This window comes from Homo sapiens, chromosome 19 (genome assembly GCF_000001405.40).
Source record: "Homo sapiens chromosome 19, GRCh38.p14 Primary Assembly".
In the NCBI taxonomy this organism is placed as follows: Eukaryota; Metazoa; Chordata; class Mammalia; order Primates; family Hominidae; genus Homo; species Homo sapiens.
Window position 1 is genome coordinate 18,971,573 of NC_000019.10, and position 13,002 is coordinate 18,984,574.

Below are 13,002 nucleotides of genomic sequence, written 5' to 3' on the forward strand. Positions count from 1 at the left end.
GCAGCGAGCCAAGGTTGCGCCACTGCACTCCAGCCTGGGTGACAAAAGGAGACTCTTGTCTCCAAAAAAAAAATTTTTTTTAAATTGTTTATTTTTTAGAGACAGGGGTCTTACTATGTTGTCCATGCTGTTAAACTCTCGGGCTCAAGCGATACTCTCCCCTTAGCCTCCCGAGTACCTGAGATTACGGGGCGTTTGCCACCACACCGGGCTAATTTTTTATACTTTTAATAGAGACAGGATTTCACCATGTTGGCCAGAGTGGTCTTGAACTCCTGACCTCAAGTGATCCACCTGCCTCGGCCTCCTAAAGTGCTGGAATTACAGGTGTGAGCCACCATGCCTGGCCGTTTATTATTATTTATTATTATTTTTTTGAGACGTAGTTTCACTCTTGTCACCCAGGCTGGAGTGCAATGGCGCGATCTTGGCTCACTACAACCTTTGCCTCACAAGTTCAAGCAATTCTCCTTCCTCAGCCTCCCATGTACCTAGGATTACAGGCACACGCCACCACGCCTGGCTAATTTTTTTTCACGCCATGTTGACGGGGTTTCACCATGTTGGCCAGGCTGGTTTCAAACTCCTGACCTCGAGTGATCTGCCTGTGTTGGCCTCCCAAAGTGCTGGGATTACAGGCGTGAGCCACGGTGCCCGGCCGAGAGGTATAATTTCTGTTTATTTTTTCTCTCTGCTTATCTTGTTGGCTGTTTCTTCTCCAATACAGTCACATTTCTTGGATAAGAACAAAAATATAATAAGACCGTTTTGAAAATGCAGGCAAAGAAATGCTGGAAAGCGGTCATGAACATGCCAACGGAGATTATCTCTGCGAGCTGAGCGATTAAGGGAGGGGTTGCAGGGTTTTTATTTGTTTTCTTTTCTGCTTCTTTGTTTCTCCATCAGGAAATTGACCAACATTTTTTTAATTAGGGGAAATGACAGTTACCCCGTGTGCACTTTTTGGCAGGACCTGGCCTTCAGCGTGGGTCTTGGGGCCCCCTGGCCAGTCTGAGCTCCTGTGGGGCAGTTTTTCTGGTCATCTGCAGAGGCCCCGGGTGCAGGCAGGGGAGCCCCAGCTCCTACGCGCTGCATTTCCTCAGAGGCTCCAGCACCACGAATTTTTTTTTTTTTTTTTTTTTTTAGACAGGAAATTTCTCTGTCACCCAGGCTGGAGTGCAATGACACAATCATAGCTCACTACAGCCTCGACTCCCAGGGCTCAAGTGATCCTCAGCTACCTCAGCCTCCTGAGTAGCTGGGGCCACAAGCATGTACCAACACCCATGGCTAAATTTTGTATTTTGTGTAGAGACAGGGGTCTCACCATGTTGCCCAGGCTGGTCTTGGACTCCTGGGCTCAAGTGATCCGCCCACTTTGGCCTCCCAAATTGCTGGGGTTACAGGTGTTAGCCACCACACCCAACCGAGGGCTTCATTCTCTCTGACGCTCTGTGAATAGAGTTTAGACTGTCCTCCCACCAGCACTGGGGTGAGGTAATGCAGGAAAGGGCTGGTCCCACTGGCCCAGAAGCAGATAAGAGCACCCTCCATCTACAGCCAAAAGTTAAAATCCAAAATCCAGAACCTTCCTGAGCCACCCTTTCTGTCTTTGGTGCTGGCACGGCACTGGCATGCAGTGGGTGCCATATTATTGCTCTCCAGCGGCATGGCAGGTCTTACCACTGTGGCATCAGGACCCCGGGTTTCTCTAGCTCGGGTGATGTGGATCACTTGAGAGGCCGAGGATCGCTTGAGCCCAGAAGGCTGAGCCTGCAGTGAGCCCTGATGGCACCATTACACTCTAGCCTGGGCAACAAATTGAGAATCTGTCGCAAAATAAAAGAAAAAAAGAGAGAGAGAGAGAGAGAGTTTCTCTTATTTGCAGTCTTGAGTAAGGCGTCCTGCAGGAATTTTTGTTTGTTTGTTTCTGTTTTGAGATGGAGTTTCGCTCTTGTTGCCCAGGCTGGAGTGCAATGGCGTGATCTCGGCTCACCGCAACCTCTGCCTCCCAGGTTCAAGTGATTCTCCTGCCTCAGCCTCCCTAGTAGCTGGGATTACAGGCATGTGCTACCATGCTCGGCTAATTTTGTATTTTTAGTAGAGATGGGGTTTCTCTGTGTTGGTCAGGTTGGTCTCGAACTCCTGACCTCAGGTGATCCGCCCGCCTCAGCCTCCCAAAGTGCTGGGATTACAGGCATGAGCCACCACACCCGGCCATTTATTTTATTTTATTTTATTTTATTTTTTTGAGATGGAGTTTCACTCCTGCTGCCCAGGCTGGAGTGCAATGGCGTGATCTCGGCTCACTACAACCTCTGCCTCCCGGGTTCAAGCGATTCTCCTGCCTCAGCCTCCTCACTAGCTGGGATTACAGGCGCCTGCCACCATGCCAGGCTAATTTTTTTTTTTTTTTTGAGATGGAGTCTTGCTCTGTTGCCCAGGCTGTAGTGCAGTGGCACGATCTCAGCTCACTGCAAGCTCCACCTCCCAGGTTCAGGCCATTCTCCTGCCTCAGCCTCCCAAGTAGCTGGGACTACAGGCGCCCACCAGCGCCTGTATTTTTAGTAGAGACGGGGTTTCACCGTGTTAGCCAGGATTGTCTCGATCTCCTGACCTCGTGATCTGCCTGCCTTGGCCTCCCAAAGTGCTGGGATTACAGGTGTGAGCCACCATGTCCGGCCTAATTTTTGTATTTTTAGTAGAGATGGGGTTTTACCATGTTGGCCAGGCTGGTTTTGAACTCCTGACCTCAGGTGATCCACTTGTCTTGGCCTCCCAGCCTGCTGGGATTACAGGCGTGAGCCACTGCGCCCAGCCAATTTTTGTATTTTTAGTAGAGATGGGGGTTTCACCATGTTGGCCAGGTTGGTCTCAAACTCCTGACCACAAGTGATCCGCCCACTTCAGCCTTCTAAAGTGCTTGGATTATAGGTGTGAGCCACCACACCTGACCTGGAGAATATATCTTTTTCTTTTTTTTTTTTTTTTAGATAGAGTCTTGCTCTGTCACCCAGGCTGGAGTGCTATGGCACAATCTTGGCTCACTGCAACCTCTGACTCCCTGGTTCAAGTGATTCTCCTGCCTCAGCCTCCCGAGTACCTGGGATTACAGGCATGTGCCACCACAGCACAGCTAATTTTTGTATTTTTAGTAGAGACAGGGTTTCACCATGTTGGCCAGGATGGTCTCGATCTGCTCACCTCGTGATCCGCCCACCTCGGCCTCCCAAAGTGCTGGGATTACAGGCGTGAGCCACCGCGCCTGGCCGAATATTTCTCATACCAGGAAAAGTTGGAAGCAGCCCACAGATCTAGCCTGAGAGGCCTGGTTAAATTAGTGTCTGGCCGGGTGTGGTAGCTCATGCCTGTAATCCCAGCACTTTGGGAGGCCAAGGTGGGAGGATTGCTTGAGCCTAGGAGTTTGAGACCAGCCTGGGTGACATAGGGAGCCCCCATCTCTACAAAGAATAAAAATTCAAAAATTAGCCAGGCATGTGGCATGAACCCATGTTCATGCCTATGGTCACAGCTACTTGGAAAGCTGAGGTAGGAGGATTGGTTGGGCCCAGGAGGTTGAGGTTGCAATGAGCCATGATTGCACCACTGCACTCCAGCCTGGGTGACAGAGCAAAGCCTTGTCTGAAAAAAAAAAAAAAAAAAAAAAAAAGATTTGTGTCTGCATGACACACCATGATGTGGACAGGGAAGGGATGGAAAGGACACCATGCATGCAGATAGGAGACCACATACACTGCAGCAACTCCACTTCTGTGAATGTATCCGACAGAAATGGGACCTTCATTCCGCTGGGTGCGGTGGCTCACACCTGTAATCCCAGCATTTTGGGAGGCCGAGGCGGGCAGATCACTTGAGGTCAGGAGTTTGAGAATAGCCTGGCCAACATGGCGAAACCCCATCTCTACTAAAAATACAAAAAATTATCCGGGCGTGGTGGCACATGCCTGTAATCCCAGATACTCGGGAGGCTGAGGCAGGAGAACTGCTTGAACTTCGGAGGTGGAGGTTGCAATGAGCCAAGATTGCGCCACTGCACTCCAGCCTGGGCAACAGAGGAAGACTCCGTCAAAAAAAAAAAATGCCCTGTTGCAGTGGCTCACACTTGTAATTCCAGCACTTTGGGAGGTCAAGGCAGGCAGATCACCTGAGGTCGGGAGTTCGAGACCAGCCTGACCAATGTGAAGAAACCCCATCTCTACTAAAAATACAAAAATTAGCCAGGCGTGGTGGTGCATGCCTGTAGTCCGAGCTACTTGGGAGGCTGAGGCAGGAGAATCGCTTGAACCCGGGAGGTGGAGGTTGTGGTGAGCCGAGATCGTGCCACTGCACTCCAGCCTGGTGACACAGCAAGACTCCATCTCAAGAAAAAAAAAAAAAAAAAAAAAAGAACATTCTCAAGAGGAAATAAATTATCCGTGACAGGGCTCAATGGTTCTCCTTCATTCATGTGAGGTTTTTAATGCTTTTTCATATGCCTTGGGGGAGAGTTGTCAAATCTTAACAAATCAGAGAAGAATTATAACTCGTAGAAGAATGTCAAAGGCATTTGGAGGGTGGAAGCTGCAGAAATTGAGCCCCATCTGCAAATGGGATGGACAGATGAAAGATGTACATTCTCAAGTCTGCGTAGGAACGTATATTAAGCCGAGCATGGTGGCTCACGCATGTAATCCCAGCACTTTGGGAGGCCAAGGCGGGTGGATCACCTGAGGTCAGAAGTTTGAGACCAGCCTGGCCAAAATGGCGAAACCCGTCTCTACTAAATACACAAAAATCAGCCGGGCATGGTGGCACGTGCCTGTGGTCCCAGCTACTCAGAACGTTGAGGCAGGAGAATCGCTTGAACCTGGGAGGCAGTGGTTGCAGTGAGCCGAGATCGCGCCCTTGCACTCCAGTCTGGGTGACAGAGTGAGACTCCGTCTAAAAAAAAAAAAAAAAAATTGATCCATTCCATCTTGCATTTTTTTAATAAAGTTTTTTTTTAATTAAAAAACATTTTTTTTTTGGTGGAGATTGGTGTCTTACTATGTTGCCCAGGCTGATCTTGAACTCCTGGACTCAAGTAATCCTCCCACCTCAGCCTCCCAAAGTGCTGGGATTACAGGCTGAGCCACTGCACCCGGCCTTGCAGATGTGGTTAACACCTCCAATCAACTGACCTGAAGTAAAGGAATTTATCCTCCATGACCTTGATGTTTCTTTTTTTTTTTTTTGAAACCAAGTTTCGCTCTTTTTGCCCAGGCTGGAGTGCAATGGCGTGATCTCGGCTAACTGCAACCTCCACCTCCCGGGTTCAAGACATTCTCCTGCCTCAGCCTCCTGAGTAGCTGGGATTACAGGCATGCACCACCATGCCTGGATAATTTTTGCATTTTTAGTAGAGACGGGGTTTCTCCACGTTGGTCAGGCTGGTCTGAAACTCCTGACCTCAGGTGATCCTCCTGCCTCGGCCTCCCAAAGTGTTGGGGTTACAGGCGTGAGCCACTGCACCCAGCCGATGCTTCTTATCTAATCAGTTGAAGTCCTTCAGAGAGCAAAAACAGCTTCTAGAGGGAAAAAGGAATTCGTAAGCTTGCAACAAATAAAGCCTCCCTGTTTCCAACCTGCTAGAGTGCCCTATGAATTTTGGGTTTATCAGCCCCCACGATTGCATGACCCAATTCCTTAAAATACATCTTTTTTTTTTTTGAGAGAGATAGGATCTCTGCCACCCAGGCTGAAGTGCGGTGGTGGGATCATGGCTCACTGCAGCCTCGACCTCCTGGGCTCAAACGATCCACCCACCTCAGCCTCTGGAGTGGCTGGGATCACAGGCACACACCACCATGCCCAAACTTTTTAAAAACTTTTTTGTAAACATGGGATCTTAAACTCCTGGGCTCAAGCAATCTTTCCATGTCAGCCTCCCAAAGTGCTAGGATTCCAGGCGTAAACCACCACGCCCAGACAAAATAAATCTTAAAAAATTTTTTTTTTTTTTAGAGAAAATCTCTTTCTATATATGTAATATGTATATTTCCTGTTGGTTCTGTTTCTCTTGTGAGCCATTACTGATACAGGCACCCAGAGGCCCGGTGATGGGAAGGAGGCGGGGTTACTTTCCAATACATACTCAGGGAATTTCTTTTTTTTCTTTTTTTGAGATGGAGTTTCGCTCTGTCGCCCAAGCTGGAGTGCAGTGTATGGTCTTGGCTCACTGCAAGCTCTGTCTCCTGGGCTCAAGCGATTCTCCTGCCTCAGCCTCTGGAGTAGCTGGGATTACAGGTGCCCGCCACCATGCCTGGCTAATTTTCGTATTTTTAGTGGAGACAGGGTTTTACCATATTGGCGAAGCTGGTCTTGAACTCCTGGTCTCAAGTGATCTGCCTGCCTCAGCCTCCCAAAGTGCTGGGATTACAGGCGTGAGTTACCGCGCCCGGCCACTCAGGGAATTTCTGAGATAGTGACAGCTTCCGGTGGCAGGACCTCAGCTGATTGCCTTGGCCTTTGTCCGCTGAACCCAGGCCAGCTTCCTAGCCTCGGGCGCCACCCAAGACACCTGCAGACCAAGGACACACATTAGAGGCCTTGGGTTTCACGGTCCTGGGCAGGGCCAGGCCTGAGGTGCTGACCAAGCCTGCTACCCTCAACCAAAATAAACCTAGGGCAGGATGCTGCTTGATCAGCCATCCATAGAACACCACAGCCCGAGCCGGGTCACAGATCTGCTTTGGCTGGCCTGCGGACAGGGAGGTCCTCAGCCGCAAAAGGCCTGAGAGGTGGACACATTGGATTTGAAGACCAAAAATGGCCCCCTTCTGGTTGGGTGCAGTGGCTCACACCTGTAATCCCAGCACTTTGGGAGGCTGAAGTGGGCGGATCACTTGAGGTTGGGAATTTGAGACCAGCCTGGCCAACATGGTGAAACCTCGTTCTCTACTAAAAATACAAAAATTAGCCGGGCTTGGTGGCATGTGCCTTGTAGTCCCAGTTACTCGGAAGGCTGAGGCAGAAGAGTCACTTGAGGCTGCAGTTGCAGTGAGCCGAGATCGCACCACTGCACTTCAGTCTGGGTGACAGAGCAAGACTTTGTCTCAAAAAAAAAAAAAAAAAAGGCCCCCTTCGGAGATGTGGGAGTTGGGGGTGGGGGCAGATTTCAAAGCCTGGGGGATTCGATCTGTCATCTGTGCAACCCAGCTGACTATGTGGCTAAAGTTTAACAAGTTTCACAATAACCATTAGACATTGACTGACACTGCCAGGGAAGTGCTCCAGAGATGGGGAAACCCACGTCCACACAAACACCTGTCCACGCGTGTCCACAGCAGCTCTAGTCATGGTTGGCAGAAAGTGGAAACCTCCCCATGCCCATCAGCTGGTGCATGGATAACAGAGTGTGTTCCATCCACACAGGGGGATATGATACAGCCATGGAAAAGAAGGAAGCACTGATCCATGCTACAGCGTGAATGAACCCCCAAAACACGATGCTGAGTGAGAGAAGCCAGACACAAAAGGCCACACAGTGTGAGATTCCATTGATCTGAAATGCCCAGAACAGGCAAATCCATAGACAGGAAGCAGATTGGTGGTTGCCAGGGACTGGTGGAGGGGAATGGGGAGTGACTGCTGATGGAGACAGGTTTCTTTTTGAGGTGATAACAATGAGCCTGGGTGGCTGGGAGTGGTGGCTCACGCCTGTAATCCCTGCACTTTGGGAGGCTGAAGGGGACAGATCACTTGAAGTCAGGAGTTCAAGACCAGCCTAGGCAACATGGCGAAACCCCATCTCTGCTAAAAATGCAAAAATTATCTGGGCTTGGTGGCATGCGCGCATAGTCCCAGCTACTCGGGAGGCTGAGGCAGGAGGATCACTTGAACCCGGGAGGTGGAGGTTGCAGTGAGCCGAGATGGCACCACTGCACTCCAGCCTGGGCAAAAGAGTAAGACCCTGTCTCAAAAACAAACAAACAAACAATTTATTATCATTATTATAATTTAAGATGGCATCTCAAGCGACAGAATGGGCCTTCGTCTCAAAAAAAAAAGAGCCTGAGCAACATAACAAGACCCCGTCTCTGCAAAAATATAAATAAAATTAGCCAGGCGTGCTGGATACACCTGCGGTCCTAGCTATTCAGGAGGCTGAGGTGGGATCGTTTGAGCCCAGGAGGTCGAGGCTGCAATGAACTATCATTGCACCAATGCATTCCAGCCTGAGCGATAGAGTGAGATCCCACCTAAACCGCATTTATTGAGTATCCACTGTGTGCCAGGCACTGAGCTGGGTGCTAGAACAGAGCCCAGAGTGGGAGAAACAGCTATAAACAGACGATCATAGTGCCAGGGGAATGCTTCTTTTTTTTCTTTTTCTTTTTTTTTTTTTCTGTTTTTTTTGAGATGGAGTCTTGCTCTGTCACCCAGGCTGGAGTGCAGTGGCATGACCTCGGCTCCCCGCAACCTCCACCTCTCAAGTTCAAGTGATTCTCCTGCCTCAGCATCCTGAGTAGCTGGGATGACAGGCGCGCGCCACCACGCCTGGCAAATTTTTTTTTTTTTTTTTTTTTGAGACGGAGTCTCACTGTATCGCCCAGGCCGGAGTGCAGTGGTGTGATCTTGGCTCACTGCAAGCTCTGCCTCCCAGGTTCATGCCATTCTCCTGCCTCAACCTCCTGCGTAGCTGGGACTACAGGCACCTGCCACCATGCCCGGCTAATTTTTTGTATTTTTAGTAGAGATGGGGTTTCACCATGTTAGCCAGGATGGTCTTGATCTCCTGACCTCGTGATCTGCCCACCTCGGCCTCCCAAAGTGCTGGGATTACAGAAGTGAGACACCGCGCCTGGCCATTTCTGTATTTTTAGTAGAGACAGGGTTTCACCATGTTGGTCAGGCTGGTCTCAAACTCCTGACCTCGTGATCCGCCCACCTTGGCCTCCCAAAGTGCTGGTATTACAGGCGTGAGCCACCGTGCCCAGCCTGGATGTTTCTCTTATAGCACAGAGAGGGGAGAGATGTAGCATTTTATGAACCTTTGAAGAATGGAGGAGGGGGTGTGGGTGTTGGGTTTTGGGGGATGAATATGAGTTTGCCAAGTTGAAGGTGGGGGCTGACCATGAACTGAACTTTATGGAATCTAACCAACACAACAAAATAAATCTAATTTTCAAAATGAAAATGAAAATGAGCATATTCTCCTTTGTTGGCGTGAACTGCAGGAATGTTTATATGTGGACACTTCACAGGCCAGCCTGCACCAGGCCTGGCTCATGCCGGCCAGTTCCTTCCTGAAGCTATTCATGTCTGCTGCAAAGATGGGATTAAAAACAGCATGTTGGCCTCTTCATTCATTAGGAGAGTGGAGAAATGGGAAAATTTGGGCTGCCCAAACTCCTCATGATCTATGAGGATAAACAGAAAGTTCAACGCCAGCCCTGACTGAGGACCCCCCACAAGGACTTATCTTCTATGTTTTTCTTTTCTTTTTTTGAGATGGAGTCTAGGTCTGTTGCTCAGACTGGAGTGCAGTGGCATGATCTCAGCTCACTGCAACCTCCACCTCCTGGGTTCAAGTGATTCTCCTGCCTCAGCCTCCTGAGTAGCTGGGATTACAGGCTTGTGCCACCACTCCTGGATAATTTTTGTATTTTAGAGATAGGGTTTCGCCACGTTGGCCAGGCTGGTCTCGAACTCCTGACCTCAAGCAATCCGCCCGCCTCGGCCTCTCAAAGTGCTAGGATTACGGGCGTGACCCACCACGCCCAGCCTCCTTGCTCTCTGAATCTGGATCTCACTTTCTGTAAATCCAATGTGACCTTTGGCTGTTTACTGAGTACAAGACGCTCCTGATGACCCATTTTACAGATGAGGAAATTGGGGCTCAGAGAAGGCGAGAGAGCAGAGACTGGGATTCAGTGAGGAGGGTCCCAGGGGGCCTGATGATGATGATGATTATTATTATTATGGAGACTTGCTCTTTTTGCCCAGGCTAGAGCGCAGGGGCGTGATGTCGGCTCACTGCAACCTCTGCCTCCAGGGTTCAAGTGATTCTCCTGCTTCAGCCTCCTGAGTAGCTGGGATTACAGGTGTGTGCCAGCATGCCCAGTTAATTTTTGGGTAAAGACAGTGTTTCACCATGTTGGCCAGGCTGGTCTTAAACTCCTGACCTCAAATGATCCACCTGCCTCGGCCTCCCAAAGTGCTGGGATTACAGGCATGAGCCACCCGCACCCAGCCAGGCCTGAATTTTTTTAAAGACAGGGTCTTCCTATGTTGTCCAGGCTGAAGTGCAGTGGCACAATCATGGCTCGCTGCAGCTTTGAGCTCCTGGGCTTTAGTGATCCTCTCACCTCAGCTTCTCAAGTAGCTGGAACTACAAGGAATGGGCTACCACACCTGGCTAGATTTTTAAATTTTTTATAGAGACTGGGTCTCCCTATGTTGCCCAGGCTGTTCTCCAACTCCTGGGCTGAAGTGATCCTCCCACTTTGGCCTCCCAAAATGCTGGGATTACAGGTGTGAGCCACTGCACCTGATTGATGGTGAGTTTGAAGTGGAAGGTGTTTGAAGGGGTGAAAGTGTCCATCAGAAAGCAGCTGGCCAGGCGTGGTGGCTCATGCCTGTAATCTCAATCCCAGCACTTTGAGAGGCTGAGGTGGGCGGATCACCTGAGGTCGGGAGTTCAAGACCAGACTGATCAACATGGAGAAACCCCATCTCTACTAAAAACACAAAATTAGCTGGGCATGGTGGCGCATGTCTGTAATCCCAGCTACTCAGGAGGCTGAGGCAGGAGAATCGCTTGAACCCGGGATGCGGAGGTTGTGGTGAGCCGAGATCACGCCATGGCACTCCAGCCTGGGCAACAAGAGCAAAACTCTGTCTCAAAAGAAAAGAAAGCAGCTGAGACCAATATAGCTAAGGAGTGAAGAGCTGGGTTCCGATTCTGATTCTGCCCACTTGCAGGGGCTCTTCCTAGTCCTTCTGTGAACAGCATCTTGTTGTGCTTGGGGTCTTTCCCCCTTCTTAGCCAATGAAGCCCTAGCTATCAGTGTATTGTAGCCCTCTGGCCACTGTGATTGGTTCAGAGACAGGCATATGCCCCGGGCTGGGGCAATAATAGACAATCTTGGTGTCTGTGCCACCCCTATCAGACAACAGAGCTCTTGTGATGTTGCTTAAATGGGTAAGGCTAGGCTCCGAGTTGCTGGCCACCATCTTGCCTGCCTGTAAACAAAGGACAGCAAAGCCAAGAAATAGAGAGAGAGGCTGGTGGTTTTGGTTGAGTGCCTTGATCCAGCTGATCCTGAAGGTGTCCTTTCCAATTCCATCCACCAATTAATTCCCTTTTTGGCTTTATGCAGCCCAAAGAGTTCCCATGTATTCAGCCCTTAGTGCTGCAGAGACAGCACTATAAACATGTCAGTTACTTCATTCATTAGGAGAGCAGAGAAATTGGAAAATTGAGGCTGCCCTCATTGCTGTCTATGAGGATAAACAGAAAGTCAAAGACCAGGCAGGCTGTAGTGGCTCCTGCCTGTAATCTTAGCACTTTAGGAGGCTGAAATAAGCGGATCACTCAAGCCCAACAGTTTGTGACCAGCCTGGGCAACATAGTGGACCCTGTCTCTACAAAAAGAAAAAAAAAAAAAAAATTAGCCAGGCATGGTGGTGCATGCCTGTAGTCCCAGCTACTTGGGAGGCTGAAATGGGAGGATCACCTGAGCTCAGGGAGGTTGAGGCTGCAGTGCCACCGCACTCCAGCCTGGGTGACAGAATGAGACTCTGTCTCAAAAAAAAAAAAACAAAAAAAAAAAACAGCTAAAGACCAGCCCTAAGAACTGAACTTTCTGGAAATGGCTTGGACGTCCCACCTGCCTGCCCCAGAGAGTTGTTAACCAACGTCTCTGGGCCTCAGTTTCCTCGTCTGTAAAGGGAGCTGTGGTTGCCTAAGGTGAAAGGAGCACAGGTGCCAAGCGTTCTTTGCCATGCCTGGCGCTATAAGATATCCAGTGCTATCTAGGGATGCCCCCCGGGTGCCCACCCTGGACTCCTGCTTACTTGGACTTGGATAAAAGAAGGTTTTCTGGCCAGGTGCAGTGGTTCATGCCTGTAATCCCAACACTTTGGGAGGCAGAGGCGGATGGATCATCTGAGGTCAGGAGTTCAAGACCAGCCTGAGCAACATGGTGAAACCCCATCTCTACTAAAAATACAAAAATTAGCCAGGTATGGTGGTGCCTGCCTGTAGTCCTAGCTACTTGGGAGGCTGAGGCAAAATAATTGCTTGAAACTGGGAGGTGGGGGTTACAGGGGGTTGCAGTGAGCCCAGATTGAGCTGCTGTACTCCACCAGCCTGGGCAACAGAGTGAGACTCTGTCTCAAAAAAAAAAAAAAAAAAAAAAAAAAAAAAAAAAGAAGAAGAAGAAGAAGAAGGTTTTCTGCGTTCTGAGGGACTTAGTTGCTCCCAGACATCTCTGCCTCTTGCAACAACCTGCCAAGAACGTGGAGAGCCAGAAAGGAGAGGGTGAACATCTCTGGACTGAAACAGGGAAACTGTCAAAGGCTCTAGAGTAGGCAGGTGGGACGTCCAAGCCAGAAAGGACAGGTTTGCTCTGGGTTCCTTGCAAGTGACCTCCATGGGGTTCGGGGCTGAGACGGAGCCTACAACGTTGTCTAAGGCCACATTTCAGACAACTGCCAGAGAATGGTTGTTTTACCAAATAGCTGGCCAGCACACGGGGTCTATGTCTCTGTGTCTTTTGGCTAGGTTATTCACACCCCACCCTCGTCAGCTGTCAGGGTTACCCTGGGGAATGTCAATTCCAGGCACTTCTGGTTCCAGTGGGCATTCAGGCAAAGGGTGCTCCAGCAGCCCAGGGTAGCCCTGATACCCTGCACAGGTGCCTGCCATTAAATGGGGCTGGAACCGAGGGGTATAGATGGAACAGTTCAGAATTGCTTTCATTCCTGCCCTGCCCTTCCAGACTGCTCTTTTAAAAG

General features: G+C 49.9%; 1 annotated feature.

Moving 5' to 3' along the window:
• Positions 6,518 to 7,162: an enhancer, noted in NCBI's record as "H3K27ac-H3K4me1 hESC enhancer chr19:19088899-19089543 (GRCh37/hg19 assembly coordinates)". NCBI's record gives its function as "activates a minimal SCP1, AML or CMV promoter by ChIP-STARR-seq in naive H9 embryonic stem cells {active_cell/tissue: H9 hESC(naive)}" and the evidence as "EXISTENCE:reporter gene assay evidence [ECO:0000049][PMID:30033119]".